Source organism: Homo sapiens, chromosome 5 (genome assembly GCF_000001405.40).
Source record: "Homo sapiens chromosome 5, GRCh38.p14 Primary Assembly".
In the NCBI taxonomy this organism is placed as follows: Eukaryota; Metazoa; Chordata; class Mammalia; order Primates; family Hominidae; genus Homo; species Homo sapiens.
The window spans coordinates 19,577,610-19,603,615 of record NC_000005.10 but is presented as its reverse complement, the minus strand read 5'-3'; the positions used below and the strand labels follow the sequence as shown (position 1 = coordinate 19,603,615).

Genomic DNA, 26,006 nt, shown 5'->3' with positions numbered 1-26,006 from the left:
TGTTGTGTCTCTTCTTCATTTTTCTATTCTGAAAAACAGCTCAATTACTAGTTGTTCTCATTTTGATTTTATTTTTTGTAGTTAAAAAATATATACAATAATATTTATCCTTTTAACAACTCTAATGTGTGCATTTAAATAACACTACGTATATTCATATTGTTGTGCAACCAATGGTACTATTGAAATACAGAAGTCTTTTCGTCTTGCAAAAGTAAAACTTTGTACCCATTGTTTAATGGGTACTTTCCCATTTTCCCTCTCCTGAGTCTCTGGTTATTCAACTTTCTATCTCTATGAATTTTACTGTTCTAGGTACTTTATATAAGTGGAATCATGCAATATTTGTCTTTCTGTGCCTGGCTAACTTTGGTAAACATAATGTTTCAAGGTTCATCCAGGCTGTAAGATGTATCAAATTTTAACTTATTTTGTAATGATAATTAATATTTTATTTAATGTGTATACTGCATTTTATCAGTTCCTCTGTTGCTGCATGTTTGGAGTGATTCTACCTTTTGGCTATCATGAGTAAGGTGGCTGTGAATATGGGTGTAACACCCCACTTTCAGTGCTTTTAAGTATATATCCAGAAGCGGAATTGCTAGATCATATGGTAATTTTATGTTTATTTATTTATTTTTTTTTTTGAGATGGAGTTTCGCTCTTCTTCACCAGGCTGGAGTGCAATGGTGCGATCTTGGCTCACTGCACCCTCCGCCTCCTGGATTCAAGGGATTCTTCTGCCTCAGCCTCCTGATTAGCTGGGATTACAGGTGCCCTCCACCATGCCCAGCTAATTTTTTGTACTTTTAGTAGAGATAGGGTTTTATCATGTTGGCCAGGCTGATCTTGAACTCCTGACTGCAGGTGATCCACCTGCCTTGGCCACCCAAAATGCTAGGATTACAGGCATGAGCCACCACGCCCTGCCATGTTTAATTTTTTTAGAGGCCTCCATACTGTTCTCCACAATGGCTATACCATTTCACTGCTCCACTAACAGGGCACAAGAGTTCTAATTTCTCCACATCCTCACCAACACTAGTCATTGTCTTCTTTTTTTTTAATTTTAATTTTTTATCTTTTTTGGAGAGATGTCTATTCCAGTTCTTTGCCTATTTAAAAGATTGGATTGTGTGTGTGTGTGTGTGTTTTGCAGTGTTAACTTATAATAGTTTGCATTTATTTATGTCTTTAATTTATTTCCACAATATTTTGTCATTGTCAGTGCACACATTTTTTGTTAGATTTATTCCTAAATATTTTATCATTTTTATGGTATTAAGAACGGAATTGCTTTATTTTCTTTTGCAATTATTCATTATCTTGTAACTTTGCTGAATTACTTTATTAGTTCTAAAAGTTTGTGTGTGTTTGTATGTGGGGGTGTGTCTGTATTTGTGTACTCCCTATGGCTTTCTATGTATAAGATCATGTCATCTGTGAACAGAGATAATTGTATTACTTCCTTCCCAATTTGGATGCTTTTAATTTCTTTTTCTTGCCTTATTACTCTGGCTAGGATTTCCAGTATTATGTTGAATAAAAGTTCAAAAGTAGGCATCCTCTTTTGTTCCTGGTCTTACAGTAAATGCATTTAGTCTTTCACCATTTTAGTGATATTAGTTGTGGGGTTTTAACATATGGCTTCTATTATGTTGAGGAAGTTTCTTTTATTTATAGTTCTATTTTATGTTTTTTTAAATCATAAAATGGAATTGAATTTTGTCAATTGCTTTTTCTGTAGAATTGACATGACCTTGTGATTTTTTTCTTTATTCTGTTAATGGAAATGAAAATTAATTGATTTTCATATGTTGAACTAAGCTTGTATTCCAGGAAAAAAAATCCCAATTGCTCATGGTGTACATTCCTTTGATATTATGCTGAAATCAGTTTACTAGTATTTTGTTAATAATTTTTGTATTAATATTCATAAGGAATATTGGTTTTTAATTTTCTATTATTTTAGTGTCTGTCTATTTTTGGTTTCAGGAGAATGCTGGTCTTATAAAATAAATTAGGTAATTTCCCTCTTTTTTTACTTTTTGCAAGATTTTGAGAATTTGTGTTAATTCTCCTTTAAATGGTTAGTAGAATTAAACCAGTACAGCCATCTGTTGCAGGGCTTTTCTTTCTTGGGAAGTTTTTGATGGCTTATTGACTCTCCTTATCAGTAGTATGTCTATTCAGAATTTTCATTTCTTCCTAATTTTGTCATGGTAAGTCATATTTAAAAGAATATATTCATTATTTATACATTCTCCAGTTAGTTGGTATTTGTTTGCAGGACTTCCTTGTAAAATCCTTTTATTTCTGTAAAATCAGGGTAGTGTTTCTACTTTATTTCTGATTGTAATTATTTGAGAGTCCTCTTTCTCTTTCTTAGCCAATCAATTTTGTTGATCTTTTTCTAGAGAGAACAGATCTTGGAACTGGCTTGTAACCTCCTGCAGACCAAGATCTCCTTGCCCTGGGAAGGGAATGGGGCAAGAGCAAGTTGAAACACCACAGATGCTTAATGCTTGAATTTATTTTTTCCTTAGTTGAGGATTTTCTTGCTTTCTGTACACGTTTGAATATTTCCAAGAGCTTTTATAAGTTTATTTCACCTAGTTTTAAGTCACTTGTTCCCTCATGGAAACATCGAAAAGCAACTTAAAACTAGCTGAGCTAAACTTATAAAAACTCTGGGAAATATTCAAATGTGTACAGGCTTGGAGCTTTGTAATCTGCCATTTTTCTAATGTAAGTCCCATCTTTGTTTTTTTAGGCATTTAAATCATAAGTGCTACCAATACATTTAATTTTTCCAGATAAGAAAAGGATTCCACCTTAAAAATAATGTAAGGCATTAAAATACTACATATCCTATAGTACATATTAGTGTGGTAGATATTTCATTCAAGGAAAAAATTTCTCCCCATGTACTTTCTATTTTTTTCATGAAAGTATCTAATAATTGCCAAGAATGGACAGACCTTCATGAAAACTATATTTCTTTTTTTCAAGAAAAAGGACAGAAAAATAAATTCAAGTGTATAAATTATTGATATTTTACTGTTAAAATAATTAGGTATCTAGTATGAAAAAATAATTTAATTTAGAGGAGTGAGGAGAGACAACCCTTAGTGACCCTAAGCATCGACTTTAGTGTTATAGAGAACAGCTGGCTCAGTAGATATAAGTTAATTTAAGACATTAAAAGCTGGTACCAGCTGAAAAACTCTAGAGGCTTATTTATTTTTATTTTTATTTTTAATTATTATACTTTTAAGTTCTAGGGTAGATGTGCACAACGTGCAGGTTTGTTACATATGTATACATGTGCATGTTGGTTTGCTGCACCCATTAACTCGTCATTTACATTAGGTATATCTCCTAGTGCTATCCCTCCCCCCTCCCCCACCCACGACAGGCCCCGGTGTGTGATGTTTCCCTTCCTGTGTCCAAGTGTTCTCATAGTTTAATTCCCACCTATGAGTGAGAACATGCACTGTTTGGTTTTCTGTCCTTGCAATAGTTTGCTGAGAATGATGGTTTCCAGCTTCATCCATAGCAAAGTGACCTTTACAGTTAAAGAGCTCCCCTGTTGCATGGCTAAATAGGTGCTCCAGTGCTCACTGTCTCTCCCACCCTGAAAACATGGAGAACATTATGGGAATTGGATTTCTTTCTATTGAGGTTCTGTTTTGGTTTTGTTTTTGTTTTTGTCTTGTTTTTATTGAGACACAGTCTCGCTCTGTCGCCCAGGCTGGAGTGCAGTGGTGCGATCTCGGCTCACTGCAAGCTCTGCCTCCCGGGTTCACGCCATTCTCCTGCCTCAGCTACAGGCATCTTCCACCACCATGCCCGGCTAATTTTTTGTATTTTTAGTAGAGATGGGGTTTCACCGTGTTAGCCAGGATGGTCTCGATCTCTTGATCTCGTGATCTGCCCGCCTCGGCCTCCCAAAGTGCTGGGATTATAGGCGTGAGCCACCACGCCTGGCCGGCTCTGTGTTTTTTTAGTCACTCTTTACTGCTACACAAATCAGATGAAATATCGTCACAGAGCTGATGACTATTAATAACTGGGGGTGTTCTTTTCTCACTTATGTATATGATGACCAAAATATATACTGTAAGTGTACTGGGCCAGCATAATAAATATGAATATTTTTATATTCATAAAAGCAGAGCTACGTGTAAAGCAGCATAACATCTGTTTTACTTAGTAAATACTTGAAAAATAAATTCTTGCATTTTGAAAATACATGTTAAATGACTTGAATTTTTATAAAAAGACACATAATCCATTATATAACAGATATTGTTTACATCAATTTCTTCATTATATCAACTAGATTCATGATCCATGTCTTTTAGATTATATAATCTTAGGACATCTATGAATATGTTGCGTCTATTATATAACACTGTGTGTACATATATTTGTGTATGTAAATATATATACACACACATATATGGAAATTATATTTGAAAGTTTAAAGTTATTATCTTTTATGGTAGAATACTAAATATGATATCACTACAATCACAAAGCAATAAACATTATCAATTGAGTCATATGATTTTTAAAAAAATTATTTTAGTGATAAAACAACAAATTGCCTTTTTTCTATTTTGTCTATTCCAATTTTTCATTAATAGTCACATATTAGTGCATAGTTATAAATAACCCTTTGTTATAAATACAAATTTGACATTTTATTTGCAAATTTTAGTAATTCTGTGAAGTTGGACAACCAGATTCTAAAAGTTATATTACCATTACTGTTTCTATGTGGCTTAAATAGCTGGAATTTACTAAAGATAACACATCTCTTCATTGTGGGATGTCCTTTGCTACAGCCAACTTGAGTAATTTTTAATACTAAACATAATTATTTAACAGTTGTAAGTTTCATGGACATAAACAATTTTAGGGAAGTGAGGAGATAATTTAATTTTGTTATCAAATTGATATTTTAAAAATACAATTATCATTTAGTTTTTTCATTTCTTATTTTTTATTTGTTTTGTTTTCAATATAGTTTGTATCAGCAAATGGGGAGTGTTACATGAAGTTTAACCTTCATATTTGGTTCATTCAGTTTCCTATGTCCTTCTTTTGTTGTAAACTTTAAACAATTTATTCTTTTTTCATTGTTCTACATTTTAAATTTTCCAAATAGTTTCAATTTCCTTTTTTAAAAAAAGATGCAAGATTGTAAATGCCCAGCGTAAAGTTGGAGATGACCATCCTTTGAATATTTTAACAGAAACTCAGGATATAGTAGAAGTGACTATTCATTTGGGAGCCATAAGTTTATATGTTGATGTTGAAACCACAGGGACAAATGTACCTTTCTAGAGTGTGTATATAAGGAATAGAAATGAGGTACTAAGTTACGGACAATACTCTCTTTTAAGAAAAAAGTGAAAGATAAGTCTGTAATGAAACTGAGATATTAGCAAAGTAGTGATACAACCAGGGAAGGTCTGTGTTCTAAAACTCTAGAGAGGGCCTTTTTTATAGCTGTAGCCTAAGTAAATTTTCCTGCATGTGAATAAGGAGATATGTAAAGTAAAATTCATTTGACTATTTCTAAATTAGAAAAATATAAGGTTAGATAACTTGTAGCATATTATTAAAATAAACACTACATTCTAATTAACAAACTAGAACTATATGCGACATCTTAGTTACATCTCAAATTATGATTTTGAATAAAAAATACAAAAAAAGATGAATATAAACATAAAATCTAAATAACCATACTATTTGAATATGTATTTGTGGAAACACATTACATTAATATTTTTAAGTTATATAAGGGGATGATCATGGTTCTGGGAAGATGAGCTGAGAATTTGATTATAGCAAATGGCTCACTTAGAAGCATCACCTATGCCTTCAATAGTATGTTACTTTATCAAATGAGAACTGAAGCAAATACACCAAAACATTAAGATTTGACAGCATACGTGTGTGTTTCATGACATTTTTTATTTGTTTTTTTTTCTGTTAGAAATATATCAAAGTATAAAATCATAGGAGGAGAAATAATCAGCAATAAGGGTGCAATAGAATCATGTTTTGTTTGTTTGTTTATTTTGGTTTTCAGTTTTCCTCAACATAACTCACAGTGCCCCAGGATGACAAGAACAATAAAAGAATGCATTTGAATTAGCAAATCACTGGCAACTACTGCAAAAGTGTGTATAGCTTATCTATGCCTGTGTTGCAAAGCATTCCAATTGGCATATTAAAACAACTAATATTTATTATTTCACAATTTCTGTAGGTCAGGAATCTAGCTATGGTTTAGATGAGTGCCTTTGGTTCATGCTTATGAGATTCCAGTGTAGAAGTCAGCAGGGGCTGAGGTCTTGCCCAAAGGCTTACCTCAGTGGAGGTGGAGCTGGTTTCTGCTTCCAGCTTACTCACATGGCTTTTGGCAGGCATCACTCACTTGCTCTATGGGCTGCAACGAAACATAACAGATAGCTTGCCCCAGAGAGTGATACAAGAGGGAGTGAGAAAGTGTTCCCATGATAGAAGCCACAGTCTTTTTGTAACCTAGTCTTGTAAGAGATGTCCGATTACTTTTGCTGAACTCCATCATAAGTGAGCCACTATATCTAGCCAACATTCAAGAGGAAATGATTACTCAAGGACATGATCAGCAGGATGCATGGGTAAAATGTGGCCGCCTTGAAGGCTGTCTACTAAAAGTTGACTCTTAATTTACAAATTATAATTCTCAACTCAATGGAGAGTGTACAAAATATTAATCTTAATGCACTCCTTTGTTTAATGGGACATAGTGAATGGGGAAGTTACTATTCTTGCAATTCTTAAAATGTGTCAAGAATTATCAGGTTTTTTTTCTATAAACATAATCTGCCTGTACCAGGAATCTGTTTCATATTTTAAGACCCAGCCTAAATGTTTTCTGGGCCGTGAGTCTTTTGTGACCCATTTGAACAGTTTTTTGCAATCCGCTTTGTGAAAACAACCTTCTTTATAACGCTATCATCATAGTAATTCTATAATGTATTTATTTATCTCTGTTAACTAAGACATCTTTGGTTTTCTAGTGTTACCATCCTAGTATTAACTACTTGACAGGTTTTTGAAGGCTTATGTAATAGTGGTTAATTCTGGTTTAGTTGGACCTTGGAGACCACAGCATCCAAAAAAATTGACTCCTTCTAGTCTCTGTCTCAAAATATTTTAGAGAATTTGTACCAATTTATTTTGTAATATGTCTATACATTTTGTTGAGCAAAACAGTGTCCCATTATAGATGTGACTTTTCAGGAACATCATGATATTTTCAAGGCCAGTGCAAATCACATGGCTTCTCTTTGATGCTGATTTTATGCCCTCAAATTTGGCCTTTCAACATCAATTTTGGAAACACGACCATTGACAAAAGCCTCTTCTTAGTATTTCATAGCTGTGCCACCAAAGAGAGATGAAAGTTATTTTCTAGTTCCAGTTCAACATTTTTGAGAAATATACTCTTTTTGGAGATGTTTGAAAAACTGCCTACCCTTCACCAATCAACTGTGAGAACGAAGGAGGGATCCTATAACATTTGGGTCTCATGCTTTTCCCATGCCAATTCACAGAATCAAGGAAGATAGATCTTTTAGTAATGGTAGATCTTGATAAAACCATATGGTTAAGGTCAAGGGATTGTTTGTTTAAAAGAAGAGGGTGTTTTACACAGGAAAAGATATGTTGGTTGAACATACAATTTATTCGGACATTTAGTTTAGTTAGACTAAAAGCTAATGTCTTTCTTACTTTGCTGTGAGTTTATTCCAGGTGTATTCTCCAATGCTTATGAAAGAGAGCTGAGAAAAATATTTGTTGAACATTGACTAAACACAAACACATACATGAACACGTGTGTCAACCCTTAGTATCTATACATGCACATTTAAAATTATACATTTTTGTCTTTAGAAGTTTATCAAATGATTTTTTTATTTTTGAGATGGAGTCTCGCTCTGTCGCCCAGGCTGAGTGCAGTGGCACAACGTCGGCTCACTGCAACCTCTGCCTCCCAGGTTCAAGCGATTCTCCTGCCTCAGTCTCCCAAGTAGCTGGGATTACAGGCGTGTGCCACCACACCCAGCTAATTTTTGTATTTTTGGTAGGGATGGGATTTCACCATGTTGGTCAGGCTAGTCTCGAACAGGTCTCGAGCCACCGTACCAGGTTCAAATAAATATTTTAAACCATGAACACTGAATGTCTTTCCATTTATTTGTCTTTTTACATTTTTCATCCATGTTTTCTAGTTTACGGTGTATAAGTCCTTCACTTCCTTTTGTCTTTTTACATTTTTCATCCATGTTTTATAATTTTCAGTGCATGAGACTTTCACTTCCTTAGTTTATTTATACAGATTTTATTCATTTCAATGCTATTATAAATGGGATTATTTTTCTAACTTTTTCAAATAATTTTTATTAGTGTGTATAGATGCAACTAATTTTTTTGTTGATTTTATGTCTGCAACTTTACCGAATTTGTTTATTAGTTATAACAATTTTTGTTTTTTGTGGAGCCTGTTTTTTTATATATGTAATATTATGTTATCTACAAACAAGGACAGTTTTACTTATTTCATTCTGATTTAGTTCCCTTTTATTTTTTTTAAATGCCTAATTGCTCTGGCTATGTCTTCCAGTACTATTTTGAAAAGAAGTGGTAAGAGTGGGCATCCTTGCTTTGTTCCTGATCTTATTGGAAAAGCATTAAGCTTTTATGTATATAATGTTATCAGTTGCACTCTCATAAAATGTCTATACTACATTTTAACTCTACAAGTACAGTAAAATCCCTATCAAAATCCAAATGACATTTTTTTACAGGGAGAGCAAAGAACAATTCTAAAATATATGTGGAAAGACAAAGGCCCTGAAGAAGCAAAACAATGTTGAAAAAGAAGAACAAAGCTGGAGGCAACACACTTGCTGATTTCAAAATATTTTAAAATGCTGCAGTAATTAAAATAGTATGGTAATGGCATACAGACAGATATGTAGGCCAGTGGAACAGAGTAGAGCCTCTAAATAAATCCAGACACAGGTAGTAAAATCATCTTCAACAAGGTTGCTAAGAATACACAATGAGAAAAGGATAGTCTCTTTAAAAACAGGCCGGGCGAAGTGGCTCATGCCTGTAATCCCAGCACTTTGGAAGGCAGAGACAGGTGGATCACGAGGTCAGGAGTTCAAGACCAGTCTGGCCAACATAGTGAAACCCTGTCTCTACTAAAAATACAAAAAATTAGCTGTGTGTGGTGGTGCGGGCCTGTAATCACAGCTACTCAGGAGGTTGAGGCAGAAGAATCCTGTGAAGCCAGGAGGCAGAGCTTGCAGTGAGCCAAGATGCACCATTCCACTCCAGCCAGAGTGAGATTCCGTGTCAAAAAACAAAACAAAACAAAACAAACAAACAAAAAAATGCATTGAAAACTCATTATCTATATACAGAAGAATGAAAATGGCTTCTTTTTGTATATCATACACAAACACTAATTCAAACTGGATTAACAAGTTAAACATAAAATCTGAAACTGCACAACTCTTAAAAGAAAAAAATAGGGGTAAAGCTTTATGACGTTAGTCTTGATAATGATTAATCTGATATGACCTGCAAATCCCAGGCAATAATAACAAAAACAGACAAATGGGACTATATCAAGTTGTAAATTTTTAACACAACAAAGGAAACAATCTACAGAGTGAAAAGCAGCCTGTGAAGTGGAATGAAATATTTGCAAGCCCTGTCTGCTAAAAGGCTTATTTCCAAAATAAAACTCCTACAACTCAATAATAAAAGGAAAGAAGAAGAAGAAGAAGAAGAAGAAGAAGAAGAAGAAGAAGAAGAAGAAGAAGGAGGAGGAGGAAGAGGAAGAGAAGGAGGAGGAAGAAGGAGGTAGAAGGGGAGGGGGAGTGGGTGAAGGAGGAGAAGGAGGAGGAAGAACGGGAGGGGGAGTGGGTGAAGTAGAAGGGGAGGGGGAGACAGAAGTGGGAAAGAAAGGGAGGAGGAGAGGGAGAAGGAGAAGAAGGAAGGAAAAAAATGATCAATAACCTGATTAAAAAATGGGCCTAGGACCTGAATAGCTGTTTCTCTAAAGAACACATACAAATGGACAATAGGTACGTATAAAGATGCTCAATGTCACCAGTCATCATGGAAATGCAAATCAAAACTACAGTATGATAACACCTCATACCTCTCAGGATGGCTATTTATGAAAAAAGCCAATGACAGAAAAGTATTGTTGAGGATGTGAAGACATTTGAACCCTTGCAAACTGTTGGTAGAAATGTGAACTTGTGTAGCGTCTACAGAATATAGTATAAAGATTCCTCAAAAATTAAAAGTAAAATTACTATATGACCTAATGACCACACTTCTGAGTATTTATTTAAAAAATCGAAATCAGGATTACAAATAAATATTAGCATTCCTATGTTTATTGCAGCATTATTCACAATAGCTAAGACATGGAAACAATCTAAATGTCCATAGACAGAGAATGTAGAGAAAAATGTGGTTTATCAAACAATGGAATAGTATTTAGCCTTAAAAAAAGAGATCTTGCAATACGCAACAACATGGATGACTACTGAGGACAGTAGACTGAATTAAATCAACCAGTCACTGAAGGGCAAATATAGTACTGCATATTTCAAGCAGATGAGGTATCTAAAATAGTAAAATTCATACAATCAAAGAATGGAGTGGTTGTTACCAGGGACTAGGGAAGGTGAGTGAGGAGTTGCTAATCAACAAATATAAAATTGTCATTATGCAAAATGAATAAGTCCTAGAGATCTGCTGAAAAATACTGTGTCTATGAATAGCAAGGCTGTGTTGTGTAGAAATTTGTTTATCGGATGGATCTCATATTAAGTGTTCTTATCACAATAATAAAAAATGATATTTTCAACATTCACTAGATTAGACTTTTGTTTTCAGTATCATATCACTAATGACAAATGATTGTCTCACTGAAATTATTTTTCTAGAGATTGTGCATTCACTTATCTATATAGTCTATGTCCTTGTATAGCATTGAATCACTATTAATTTAATCTTGGTAGAAATTATTTTATCAAATTACATTTTAATTCAAGATTCCTGGGCTTCTGTTATTTATAATGTTTTGAATTTTCTATAATAAATTGCTCTAATAAGCTTTTTTAACTTGTCAATAAAATAATTATTAAAAACATGTTCATTATGCTTCTTAATATAAGCACTATAGAAACGGTTCCATTCGACATTTAATATCAGGACAAACTTTGGAAAAATGATCTTTGTACCTATTAGACAATGAGAGTATAAAATTAACAGTGCTTTAAAATTGTTAGCTATCTATCTAATCTATCTATCTGTCTATCTATCCATCTGTCTAATGAGCTACTTGTGTACATATACTTTTCTATTTGGATTGTGTGAAATCTCATTAATTCTTCTTCTAGTAATTACAATTGTATATTGATTTAAAATTGAATATTAACTTGTCTGTTGAATACTATCATAGGGGAGTTCTAAGAATAAATTGGTTTTAACACTTAGAGAACAATAATCACCACTTGTGTATATAAAATATCACTGTCTTCACCCAAAATATTAGGTGTCAAAATTAATGCTAATTCACAAATGCTGTTTAATTTTCTATAGCTATTTACTTTCTCATGCTTCAACTCTGTAATCGATTTTTAAAAATTTTAATAACTTTGTTATTTAAAACTTTATTATGAAGCCACCTCAAATCCTTTTTAGAAGCTGATAGGGAATTTATGCTAAAGAAATATGTAACTACATTCACGTTCTCGGACATGACTGTATATCTCACTATTCTTGATAAAAATAATTATCTATATTCACAAACAGGCTATGGCATTTTATCTTGTTTTTCTGTTGAATTCCATATTTCCATACTTTTTGTTTCCACATTTTTATATTTGAACTTCACATTTACGATGGGTGGAAGAATAAATTGGGATTACACTAATACTTGACTAATTCAGTTTTGGTTCAAAATCAGAATGAAAACTTTACCTCTCTTCTAATTGTCTGTAGCTTAAGGGTTTAGAGCTAATAAAATATTTCATATTCAAATATAGAAATTATTTTCATGCAAAGTATTTTACGTACCTTTTAAAGTTTATATAAATCTAGTATTTAATTACAAAATAGTCTACTTTTAAAATCTAAAAAAGTCCATTTGATGCATTACCTAATATAGTCTTCATTTGAATATGTGCTCTAAATATTTATTTTTTCTTGTAAGATTATTTCATGAACATTGTATTTAAATATGTTTAATATGAAATGTCTTCCAGAACACTATCAGCTATATGTTCCTGAGTCAGCTCAAGTTGGTTCAGCTGTTGGGAAAATCAAGGCAAATGATGCTGACACTGGCTCAAATGCTGACATGACCTACTCCATCATAAATGGTGATGGCATGGGAATATTCTCAATCTCCACTGACAAAGAGACCAGAGAAGGAATCCTTTCTTTAAAGAAGGTAAAAAGAACATACTTTTTGTGATTCAGGCAACTCACTCATCTTTTCCTGAATGGAAATTTGGCAGAGGCATGAATAATCCACGCTGTCAGGCCATTAAAATGATAAAATATTGTCACTTTGCGATATAATTACATTTTAATTGTTGTTTGTCAACTGTTTAGATCTTTTCTTCAGAAAATATGTTTTGCTGCGGTGGGAAGATCTGATGTAGACTACACTAACAATGTTTCTCTCCATCTTTGTTCATTTTGTCTCTGCTCTAATCTTCCTGAAATGTCCCAATGTTAATAGTCAAGAATTAAATAAAAGTAATTTCAGTGAAGTGCAAAGAATCAAAGCATCATCCTAATAAAGCTGTGGTGATTCTGTTATAGCCAGAGAGGATGACGAAGGGGGCTGAGATATTTGCCATTTTAAAATGTACTCCAGGTGATTCTACAGTAGAACTATTTAGATAACAGGCTGAGATATTTTATTCTAATGTGCCTACTGTAGATGTTGATGTGAGCCTGTTGTCTATCTATCTATCTATCTGTCTGTCTGTCTATCTATCTATCTATCTATCTATCCATCTGTCTAGCTACTTGTATACATATACTTTTCTATTTGGATTGTATGAAATCTCATTAATTCTTCTTCTAGTAATTATAATTTTATATTGATTTAAAATTGAAAATTAACTTGTCTGTTGAATACTACCATGGGGAAGTTCTAAGAATAACTTGGTTTTAAACACTTAGAGAACAATAATCACCACTGGTACATATAAAATATCAATGTCTTCACCTAAAGTATTTTCTCATTGTAAATTTTTTTTCTCAAATTGTCAAACCTAGGTCAAGGGGATAATGAAAAGAGACAATTTGCATATTTATTTAACAAATGTATTTATTTTGAGTTCCTTCAATGTGTCAGTTGCTATGTTCCACATGAGCTATGCAAAGAATAAGAAGGATAAGTCTGGAGCAAAGGCAGACTCAGCCCCTACATGCACACAGCTTCTAATCTATGGACGTGGACAGACATTAATCAAATATCACATAAATTCCTAGATCAATAATATGTTTACTATGAAGAAGAGTTATATAGTGCTACAGGGGAAAAATCTAGAATATTTAATCCTTTCTGGTATTCAGCAATAGTTAAAGAGAGAATTGAAAGAAGCCTAGGAGTAAATTAGATATAGACTGTAAGGATGACTATTTCAGGAAGACAGAAAATGTACCAAGTGCCTGAGGTGAGTGAAACATGGCACATTTAAGGGATCAAAATAATGTGGCTGAATCCAGAGTAGAGGGAATGAGGAATGCAGTCAGTGGGCACAAGAGCACACAAGGCCTTGCTGAATTTTGCCAAATGGAAAGCCATTGAAGAGATGTAAGAAAAAAGTGACTAGGTCTAATTTGATGTCAAGATTTCTGATTGCTGAATTAAGCAACATGATGCCAAGGCTGTGTGTTAACTTATCACTGCATTCCCAACATCTAGCATTTTTTTCTGACACAGAGTTGGCATTCAATAAATATTAGAGTAATTAATGGATGAGGATGTGGATACAAAGGTGAGAAGAGGATTGCCTGCTTTTCATTTTATGGGTGACTTCTTTACTCAAAATAATTCAGGTAAACTGGATTAATTTTTTCTAAAAGATTAATCTGACAACTGATTGTTTAAGAAACAAGCATGAAAACGGAGGAAATATAATCTTGGAGGAAATCTTCAAATAATAGGAGAGAATGTTGGCATTGAATATTCCCAAGGGACGCTGTTCAGGAGGTAGCTAGTCATCAAAAAGTGAACTGTTCTAGAAATTTAAAACAATTTTGGATTATAAACATTGATTGGATTCGGCTAAAGGAAGTACAGGATTGACTGGGTGATTATCATTAGCAGGTTGTATTTGATCAACTTTAGAGTAAGTGTCATGTGGCAACGAGGAGAATGTATATTCTGTTGTTTTGGGGTGGAGAGTTCTATAGATAACTATCAGAATCTACTAAATAGATATCTTCTAGAGCCAGAGCTGAGTTCAGGTCCTAAATATCTTTATTACTTTTCTGTCTTGATGATCTGTCTCATAATGTCAGTGAGGTTTTAAAGTCTCCCACTATTATTGTGTGGGAGTCTAAGTCTCTTTGAAGGTTTCTAAGAGCTTGCTGTATGAATCTGGGTACTCCTGTATTGAGTCCATATACATTTAGTGTAGTTACTTCTTGTTGAATTGAACCCTTTACCATTATGTAATGCTCTTTTTTTGTCTTTTTCGATCTTTTTTGGCTTAAAGTCTGTTCTGTCAGAAACTAGGATTGCAACCCCTGCTTTTTCCTGTTTTCCATTTGCTTGGTAAATTTTTCTTCATCCCTTTATGAGCCCATAAGTGTCTTTGCACGTGAGATGGGTCTTTTGAAAACAGCATACCAATGGCTCTTGGCTCTTTCTCCAGCTTGCCACTCTGTGTCTTTTTATTGGGGGGTTTAGCCTATTTACATTTAATGTTAGTATTGTTATGAGTGGATTTGATCCAGTCATTATGATGCTAGCTGGTTATTTTGCACAGTTGTTTATATGGTTGCTTCATAGAGTCACTGGTCTGTGTATTTCAGTGTGTTTTTTAGGCCGATAACAAGTTTTTCTTTCCATATTTAATACTTCCTTCAGAAGCTCTTGTAAGGCAGATATGGTGGTAATGAATTCCCTCAGCATTTATTTGTCTGGAAAGGATTTTATTTCTCCTTCGCTTATAAAGCTTCTGGCCAGGGCAATCAGGCAAGAGAAAAAAAATAAAGGGTATTCAGATAGGAAGAGAGGAAATCAAATTTTCTTTGCAGATGACATAACCCTATATCTCGGAAACTTCCTCATCTGAGCCCAAAAGCTACTTAAGCTGATAAGCAACTTCAGCAAAGTCTCAGGATACAACATCAATATGCAAAAATCACCAGCATTCCTATACACCAACAATAGGCAAGCCTAAAACAAATCATGAATGAACTCTCATTCACAATCACCACAAAAAGAGTAAAATACCTAGCGATATGGTTAACAAGGGAAGCAAAGGACCTATTCAAGAAGAACTACAAACCACTGCTCAAAGAAATCAGAGATGACAGAAACAAACGAAAAAAATTCCATGCTCATGGATAGGAAGAATCAATATCGTGAAATTGGCCATACTGCCCAAAGCAATCAATAGATTCAGTGCTATTTCCATGAAACTATCATTAACATTCTTCAGAGAATTAGAAAAAAATGATTTAAAATTTATATGAAACCAAAAAACCTGAAGAGCCAAGGCAATCCTAAGCAAAAAGAAATCTGGAGGCATTATGCTATCTGACTTCAAACTATACTACAGTGCTACAGTAACCAAAACAACATGGTACTGGTACAAAAAAAAAAGACACACAGACCAATGGAAAACAATACAAAACCCACACATAAGACTGCATACTTACCACTATCTGATCTTTGACAAACCTGACAAAAACAAGCAATGGAGAAAGGATTCCCTATTTAATAAATTGTGCTGGGACAACTGGCTAACCATATGCAGAAAATTGAAACTGACACCCTTCCTTATACTACATACAAAAATCAATTCAACATGCATTAAAGACTTAAATGTAAAACCCAAAACTATAAAAATCCTAGAAGAAAAACCTACGTATTACCTTTCAGGACATAGGCACAGGCAAAGATATCATGACGAAGAGCCCTAAAGCAATTGCAACAAAAGCTAAAACTGACAAAGAAGTTCTGTTAGGTTGATGCAAAAGTAATTGCAGGTTTTGGCATTTATTTTAGTTGCAAAATCACAATTACTTTTGTACCAATCTAATAATTAAACTAAATAGCTTCTTCACAGTAAAAGAAACTATCAACAGGTTAAACAGACAACATACAGAATGGGAGAAGATTTTTGTAATCTATGCATCTGACAAAGCTCTAATATCCAGCATCTATAAGTATCTTAAATGTATTTGCAAGAAAAAAAAAACCTCATTAAAAAGTGGGCAAAGGACATGAACAGACAGACACTTCCCAAAAGAAGACATTTATGCAGTCAACAAACATATGAAAAAAAGCTCAACATCACTGATCATTAGAGAAATGCAAATCTAAACCACAATGTGATACCATCTCACACCAGTCAGAATGGCTTTTATTAAAAAGTCAAATACAACAGATGCTAACGAGGTTGTGGAGAAAAAGGAACACTTTTACACTGCTGGTAGAAGTGTAAATTAGTTCAACCGTTCTGGAAGACAGTGTGGCAATTCCTCAAAGACCTAGAGGCAGAACTACCATTTGATCCAGCAATCCCATTACTGGGTATATACCCAAAGGAATATCATTCATTCTGTTATAAAGACACATGCATGTCTATGTTTATTGCAGGACTATTCACAATAGTAAAGACATGGAATCAACCTAAATGTTCATCAATGATAGACTAGGTAAAGATAATGTGGTGCATATACACCACGCAATACTATGCAGCAATAAAAAGGAACTACATTCGTGTCCTTTGTAGGGACATAGACAGAGTTGAAGGCCATTATTTAGGCAAACTAATGCGGGAACAGAAAACCAAATACGACGTGCTCTGACTTATAAGTGGGAGCTAAATGATGAGAATACATGGACACATAGGGTTAACAACACACACGGGCCTATAGGAGTAGGGGGTGGGAGAAGGGAGAGGGTCAGGAAGTATAGCTAAGGGATGCTGGGCTTAATACCTAGGTGATGGGTTAATCTGTGCGGCAGACCACCATGGCACATGTTTACCTATGTAACAAACCTGCATATCCTGCACATGTGCCACTGAACTTAAAATAAAAGTTGAAAATAAAAAAATAAAATAAAATGCCTTTAAGAAGAAAAAAATAGTAGCAGCAACTAATATTTGTTAGAGTATTTCCTCTGTATCAAGACAGATTTTAAGCACATTGCAATGTCTTTATTGAATTAATATACCCATAATTGTCCTTTTAATTCTTACTGTGACATTTTGGGAAAGAGAGTGTTATTATCCCCGCTTTATAGCTAAAGAAACTGAATCACAACGCGATAAAAATAGTGCCCAAGCAGAAAGTTGACAGAAAACTGAATTGGGGTGTCTGTCATCAGAGTCTGAACACTTACTCATGTTATATATTCAGATGGAAGATATGTGATTATTCTTTGCTACAATGGAGAGAGAAACTAATTGTGATGAGGTGGAGAGAGAATGGGAAGCAAAAATATGGGAGGAAAAAAATAGAAAAACACTGTCTTCTTGGAGAAGGTTAGTACCTACGTGGTGGAGAAAGATTATAAAGCAAATAAACCAAGAACACAATGAAATAAATGTTTTAATTTTAAGTTGGGAGACAAGAGTGTTTCTATGCACAGGGACAAAAAGCTCAATACAGACAAGACATCAAGGATACTGATGTAGTCTAGGGATACTGAAGAGAGGATAAGTAATTTAAAAAGATTCATTATGGGTGGAGATGAACCTCAAAAGAATCCTGAATCACAAGTGCAAGGAAACAACCTAAGATAGTATGCCTCCATCTCTGAGGTTACCATAGGACAGAAGATAGAAGCAAATGACTGCGGGTAAGTTTGCAATGATGTAGTGAGGATGTGTATGGGTGCAGTGGTGGCGTTCCTGTGTATTAAGTCCTATTGTTTTTATAAAATGGAAAACAACTTCATATTGACAAAAAGTGAAAGTGGCAGTGGATGGTTTGATTACACACGTAATCTGAAGTATGACTATCAGTTGTAGAATTAAGGACGGTGCACATATCTCACCACCTTACATGGCTACAATTAATTAGAGGTCTGAAAAACAAAGGTAAAATTATATATGTTAATGTGTGTGCACATATTTAATTAATTTAATATTAATGGTTCATTCTATTTGGTGCATATACACACAATGCATATTTTCAAGATCAGAATCGTTTCAATTCTGTAAATGGTAAGTGATGATGTACTAAAAATATTCTTGACATTTAATAAGTTCAAATTGTCTTTCACTTTTTTCCTTGAATTTTTTTTTTTTGGAGATAGAGTCTTGCTCTGTCACCCAGGCTGGAGTGCAGTGGTGCGATCTTGACTCACTGCCGCCTCGGTCCCTAGTGCCCAAGTGATTTTTCCACTTCAGTCTCCCTGGTAGCTGGGACCACAGGTGAGCACCACCAAGCCTGGCTATTTTTTCTTTTTTCTTTTTCTTTTTCTTTTTTTCTTTTTTTTTTTTTTTTTTTGTATTTTTAGTAGAAACGGGGCCTCACCATGTTGCCCTGGCTGGTCTCTAACTCCTGAGCCCAAACGATCTGCCAGCTTCCGCCTCCCAAACTGCTGGGATTACAGGTGTGAGCCACTGCATCTGGCCTCCCTTGAACATATTTTTTAATGTAGTCTAGATTTCCTCTGAGGTATGTACATGTTGCATTCACGTAATTTTTTGATACTTCTGATTAGGATTATCAATCTCAGAGTTATTTAATTGCTGTATGCTTTAGGGCATAAATAATTGCAATTTCAAAAACCTGTATACCTGAGTGGATTTTAACCTTCAAGAGATACTCATTGAGATGGCAGAAAAAAGATAAAACAGTTCTTAAAAACCTATTCCTTATTTAATCTCTAAGGCAGTTCACTTTAGCCAGCTGGGCAGAACAGCTAATCTCCTCACAGATAGAAATCAGCACTGCTCTATAAATCCGCCAGCAGGACTGTCTGCAACGTTCCTGTCTGTATCATTCCTTCATCAGAAAATTGCCAAGTTGAATTCACTGGTGCATGGTGTGGTACATTGTAAATACACTTTGATAACTTTCATTCATTGTTTAATGAAGCCTGGCTGGGTGGAAAGGGGAAAAAAGATAAGGATGAATGCAATTGGATGTACTCTCTTTCCTCTGACATAAACCTCTTGTAGCTAGAGATGTGCTTCTCCTTAGCAGCCTTTCTCAAAGTCTCTTCTTATATGGCTCCTATTTGCACACTTTACAGAAGTGGATCCAAATATTATGTTTTCTTTAGGTTTCTGATTCTATTTGGCCTTCTGATTTTCAGCAAATACTGTTGTGTTGTCATTCCCTTCTAACTAATTCAACTGTAAATACAATGCAAATTAACTTAAGCCAAAAAATTTTAAACTTGTCCTTCGAGTCAACAAAGGATGCTTGAAGATATAACCTTACTGTAAAATGAAATATAAATCTTGATCTTGTCATTTAGGAGATCTATGACATTATCTCAACTCTTTGAAGTGTCAGTTTTCTTGTTTAAGCACTTTACAGGGTGATTATGGAAAACATGAAACGAGGTGAAAATTGTGCTCTAAGCTATGTCTGTCTAATAATTACTACTACCTCAATAATAACTACTATCTAATACTACCTCAATACTTCTTTTTCCTTGCCTTCTTTTCTTCCTATTTTTGCACCAGTTTTTAATTATACCTCCAGACCAATCCATGTGATGATTTTGATTTTGCTGCCATCTTTATTTCACGTTATTTGATTTAACTGGAAGCAAACTAAGAATGAAATACCGTGTGTATATTACAACACAATGTATATACTGTCTTCATGTTTCTTGGCAATCAACTTCCTCTTCCTGCTTCTTCAAGAGAAGACTTTTTTTAAGTTTACGTTAAATATCGTATTTGTAGTACAACATGTTCAGGTACATTTCAGTCATAAATATCTTTTGGATTATCTTTTTGGTTTCACTTATCAAAATATGCATTTCTATAACTTCTGAATGTGGAAAACCTATCAGTTTTATTTTCCTCTTAAAGTTGTAGCTTCTGATAGGATAAGACTTTTCAAAAATTAATTTACTGTGAATGTACTGATAATTTTCCTGAGTGTGTATCTATGTGTACTACAAGTGTATCCCTGCCTATAGGAGACATAAAACACTTTCATAACCAAGTACTGTGTATTTTTAAGATTTCCATACCCCACCATGGGTAAAATATTATCAAACCCTTTTATTTAACACATGATTTGAGATGGGTCTTAAGAGTAAACACTGAAAGTTATAAATTTGTTTTTTAAAGTTTAAGTAAATTATAAGATAAAAACATGAAATATGTTCCGCTACAACCATACTAGATTTATTCTACATACTATATTTCTGGTCTTTTAGTGGATTGTGTTTATTGAGGATTACATTGTCATTCCTTTGACTTGCATTTAGTAACACAATAAGGATCGAATGTTGTTTACTAACAGATTTTAACATTTTTAGACTTTGAACCACAAAGAGTAATAAATAAGTCATCCCAACCCATTGTGAATAATCACACACAGGCAAACACATGATCACAAACTATAAATAAGAAACAGTAGATTTCTAATTCTAATGGACTGCTTACAAAATATGAACATTCCTTAGGAATTTCATTATCAAAAAAAACTCAACTAAGTTTCTGTTTTATATTCTTATAAGGTTCTAAAGTCTGAAAAGTTATTCTTTTCAGCCACAGCTGATAGAGGAATTCCAAGTTTCAATTCAGTAATATCTATTACTATATTTTGGATGACTTTGACACGGAAACGCTATTGGGTAAATTATTTTTCATGCTGTTCATCTATAGGCATAATGATGAGCCTGGAGTAATAAATCGTTTGAAACTTCATTGAAAGCTAATTGATTGTTTTGACACATATATTCCTAAAATACAGTTTATGCAGTATTTGGAAACTAATGATCTGACGAAACATCTTGATGAATTAAGCTATATATATGCATGGGCTGTTGGTAAGTTTGTGTATGTATTGGGTATTTTTAATTATTTTATTTATGTCATATATACACATACACGTGCACACATATGCACAAAACACATAGATATACATATACACACATATGAGCTTGTGTATAATTATATATAAATAATAATAAGCATACTTTCTGTATAATATAATGTATACTTAAGCTATTTGAAATGAAAGATCTTTGCACTTATTTGTCCAGTGTTCAAATGACAGAAAGCAAACATGTAATATTTATTTGTATCAGTGTCCTTAGAATTATACACAATGAATAAGAATTACTTTCTTCTGTATAGAGAAATATATGATGAGAAAGCTTATGCATATACTCCGGTTTCCACAGACTGTCCATCATCCAGGCCAGACCTCTGACAAGGGCCACAAAGCATATTATAATACAAAAGCCTAGCTGGAGAAACGCTGCTTAAATTCATACAATTTTCCTGTGTTTTGACAAAATACCATAATATAAGTTAAATACTTTTCCAGAAAACAAAAAATTAATAATGATGTCAGTCACTATTCCTGGTCTAGGCCATTTTATTTAATGATTAAGATGACAATTTTATGTATGAAAATGTTGATATCGACCCTATCTACCCAATCTTGGAACTAAAATCTGGATGCTGGTGAAGCATAGGAATCAGACAAAGAAGAGGTCATGAAGAGTCTCTTCTCTTATTAGTTAGGAGAATAGAATTTTAGAACCTCTCTAAACTCTAAGAATAATTGACTCATACGGCAACTTGGCTAAACAGCATTTTCAATATCCTTGTATTTATAATGGTTATATAGTTCCAGAGAAGAATATAATAGGGTGATTTAAGGAATAATAGAAGTGATTAATGAGAAACAATTAAAAAGTCCTGAATATGTAAATCTGGCTGGGAAACGATTGATGGGAAAATGATAACTAACTATAGTAATATGAAATGGATTAATATTAGAGGAGAAAGTACTACTTTACAAGTTAGAAAGAGCAATGATATGTAAAAGTAATTAGGAGTTATAGGATGAAATTAAGAAACTAAAATTTAAAATGAAAATCAGTGTCAACTCATTGACAGTAAGCTGTTAAATTAGGATATAGAGCAGTAGCTAAAGAAAAGTAAGAGAAGCCCAATTGCCTGGGGAAGTAAAAAATTATGCCAGAATAAACACTTCTAGCAAGGGCTGAGAAGATAAACAATTTTATCAATAGCATTTTAGTTTCTTAGCTTATGCATCTGAGAATTAAAGAAATTACAAAAGTACTCAGAGTTCTAGTAGTTAAGCTTAGTGAATGTATCAGCTCATTTTTAACTTAATAATAAATACTTGAAAAGATGATGATGAAGGTATCTTTTAATGGTGAATTTATTATATTCCACTAAAAAAATTGTTTATCTTTATCATCAAAATGAAATATTATATTACACTACTTATTTGCTATTTAGATTTCCACCAGGATAACATAGTGCTTAAGGACACAGCTTATACACTTCCTCTGCCTGAGTTTAAATCCCAAGTACATCACTTACAGACTGTTGTCCATAAGGAGTTTCTTAACTGTCCTATGCCTTAGTTTCCTCATTTGTAGATGGGAACAATTATATCTCACACAGGTGTTGTGAAGGTTAAATAAATTAATATATGTTAATTGTTTAGGGCATAGGTCGGTGTTAAGTATTATATTTCAAAAATAATATTAAATTTTTTATCCATCAAATCTAAACCATGTAATAGCACCTTTCTGTACTCTGAAAACAGCTGTATTTGAGATGGAGAAAGAGCTATTAATCAAATTCCATGTGCTAGGAATTATTTTAGATACATGACTATGAAATGAATTAGATAATATTTTTTCTCTTAGGGAAAACTGGGTAGACATGATATATTGTTATAATACAAGATGTCAGCCCATACCAACTGTTAATGATATAGGTTTGCCTTAATTGTTATGAGTTTAGAAATTAAAAAGAACCAACTTTTCAAAGATGGGAAGGGGTCAGTGAAATATTTGCATGGGAAATTATTTTTAAACATGTGTGGACTTTGGATACTCAAGAAAATAAATTCAGCCAAAGGATTTATATCCACCCATATTGTCCTTCAAGTATGGAAATTATAACCAAAAAACTTTGAACATTACAATATGCTAATTACCTTAGTTTGATTATTACACGTTGTATGCATATGTCAATAGTTTACATTTTATCCCATACCCCGTAAATATGTATAATTATTGTGTCATTAAAAATAAAATGAAACTAAAAAAACTTCTGACCAGTTGGAATAATCTACCTAAATATTAGTTAGCACCTTTAATTGGGATCAATGTAAAATTCTGTATTTAGAAACAATAAATAATTATATTTCTTTGGGGGGGGTGGATTGAAGGATATTTTATTGGGAAGTAATGTATCTTACCAAGAAATACTTGTGGGTACTAATGGGTAATGACAGGCAGGAACACTGACTGTGATTAACATCAGGATCAGAGTAGTTTATCAGAATGTAAACATGTGCCTTAAAAACTGTAGAAACAATACCTCTTTTCCTAAGAACATAGGATTGTAAGTTTAAAAAAAATTTATTAGTAATAACTAAGAATGAAAAAATATAAGTCCGAGCTAATAAGTCAAATATTAGATCTATAAGCATTACTAAGAGTACAAAAGTAAACAAAAATTAAAAGTTACAAATATTTAAGTGAAATGGGAGAAGATGGAAACAGTCTATTTTATTTTAATTGCTGTTTATTGTATGGTGATAACACAATATTATCTAAACTTATAAGAATGGAGGTGGTCACTAGAAAAAAAATAAACAAAAATAGAACTTCACTCAAGGAAACCAGATGTATCTAAAACAAAAAAAAATAAGATCATAATAAAAATCCACATACATAAAAAGGAAAGTAAGAGATATGATTTCAGCACCCACAGTGATGGGATCCAAACTGAAATCATAAAAAGAAGGAACAGAAAAACACTTTACAATCCTAAAGTGAGCCATTCACTGTGAGTATGTATCTCTGTTGCATGTTATTGACCAACATTCACAAAGAAGAAATCACAATATATACAAAGAAATATGTCTATAAACAGAATTGTAGAGGGTTATAGCTCACAAATTTCAGTCTGTGATAGATAAAGTATTTTAAAATATGAATAATCAAATAATGTAATTAATAAGGAGGTTGATAGATTTAATAAATCATTCTCTGCATTCTGGGGCTATATCATTTAATTCAAGCGCCTATAGAATATTTAGTAAAACTGACTAAATATTACGTATTAGTCTTCAAGACTATCTCATTAAAGGACTCAAAGTTAAAATAGTACAAATAAAATGCTCCTTTCCAAATACAACTAAAAGTTAGTGAAAAACATCAGAAAACAAATAATGACCTTAAACTGAAAATGTATTAACTGCAACAACCACAACCTTCTTCTTCAGGAATTCTCAAATCACAGAAAAAAAAAGGCAAACAAATTGCAGAATTTCTAGGAAAAAAACTATAATGAGAAAGAACATATATGGAAATTATGGGATACAAATTAAGTGCTTCTGAAAGTATACTTGTAATTCTAAACATATCAAAGACATCGACTAAAAAGAATAATATTAGATGAATTAAATATGTAACTAATAATGGAGAATAAAATAAGAAAAGGAATAAAGAATAGTAAACAAAAATATATATTCAAACCTGATTTTTTGGAAGGAAAGTTTAAAAAAAAAACCTAAACTAATCTTATTAAGATACATGAAAGACATAGAAAATAAGCAGCTTGAAAACATTATAACAATATTTTCTTAACTCTACACAAATAAATTTAATATGAAGGATTTCGAGGGAAGGTTGCTAAAAGCAACTTCAAAGAAACAGAAAACACACATAAACTGATTTCTGAATAAGAAAATGAGAAGCTTGTGAATTTTCCCTAAATATATCAGACCCAATAATTCACTAAGGAATTCTGTCAAACCTGGAAGAGCACATAACTGCAATACTATTTAAAGCTTTCAACACACTGAAAAGAAAGAAAATTTCTACTATGTTTCTACATAAAGCAGACAAATTTACATTCGTTTCCTAGGAATGCTCTTACAAATGACCATAAACTGAGGAACTCGAGAAACCAGTGTGCTGTCTCACAGTCCTGGAGGCCAGAAGTCTGGAATCAGGAGTTGGTGGGACTGCACTTCCTCTTTCCTTGGTAAACTCTAAGGACCTGTCCATTCCTCACCAATTCCAGCTTCTGAAGGCTCCAGTTGTTCCTCAGCTCATGGCTACATCACTCCTCTCTCTGCCTCTGTGGTCATATGACCGCATCACATTTTCTCTGCCAAATCTCCCTTGGCCACTCTTATAAGGACCCTTGTCATTAAATTTAACACCTACCTAAATAATCGAGGATTATCACCTCTTCTTATAGTTTACTACATAAGTTAATTGCATGATTTGCCATATTCATATTTGTTGCAGGGTTGCCGTCAGGCCTCTATAGCCTGTCTCCACGAAAGCCATGTCCTTCCCATGTGTACAGTAGTGTTTACCCCATCCCAACATCCCTAAAATATCAATCTATTACAAAATCAATTCTAAGTCCAAAATCTTATCTGTTTATCATCAGGTCAACATTTCTAAACTCATCATCTCAATCTAAATC

At 33.4% G+C, this 26,006-nt stretch overlaps 1 protein-coding gene across 20 annotated transcripts in view; it reads left to right on the top strand.

The window, feature by feature from the left end:
- The window catches only part of CDH18 (cadherin 18), a 1,104,418-nt gene that overhangs the window by 972,098 nt on the left and 106,314 nt on the right, over positions 1 to 26,006 (top strand). For all 20 annotated transcript variants that reach the window (XM_005248228.5, NM_001349562.2, NM_001349556.2 and 17 more), the window contains one exon: positions 12,372 to 12,559. In XM_005248228.5, the coding sequence (XP_005248285.1) occupies positions 12,372 to 12,559 (188 nt within the window). The remainder of the gene's footprint in view (positions 1 to 12,371; positions 12,560 to 26,006) is intronic.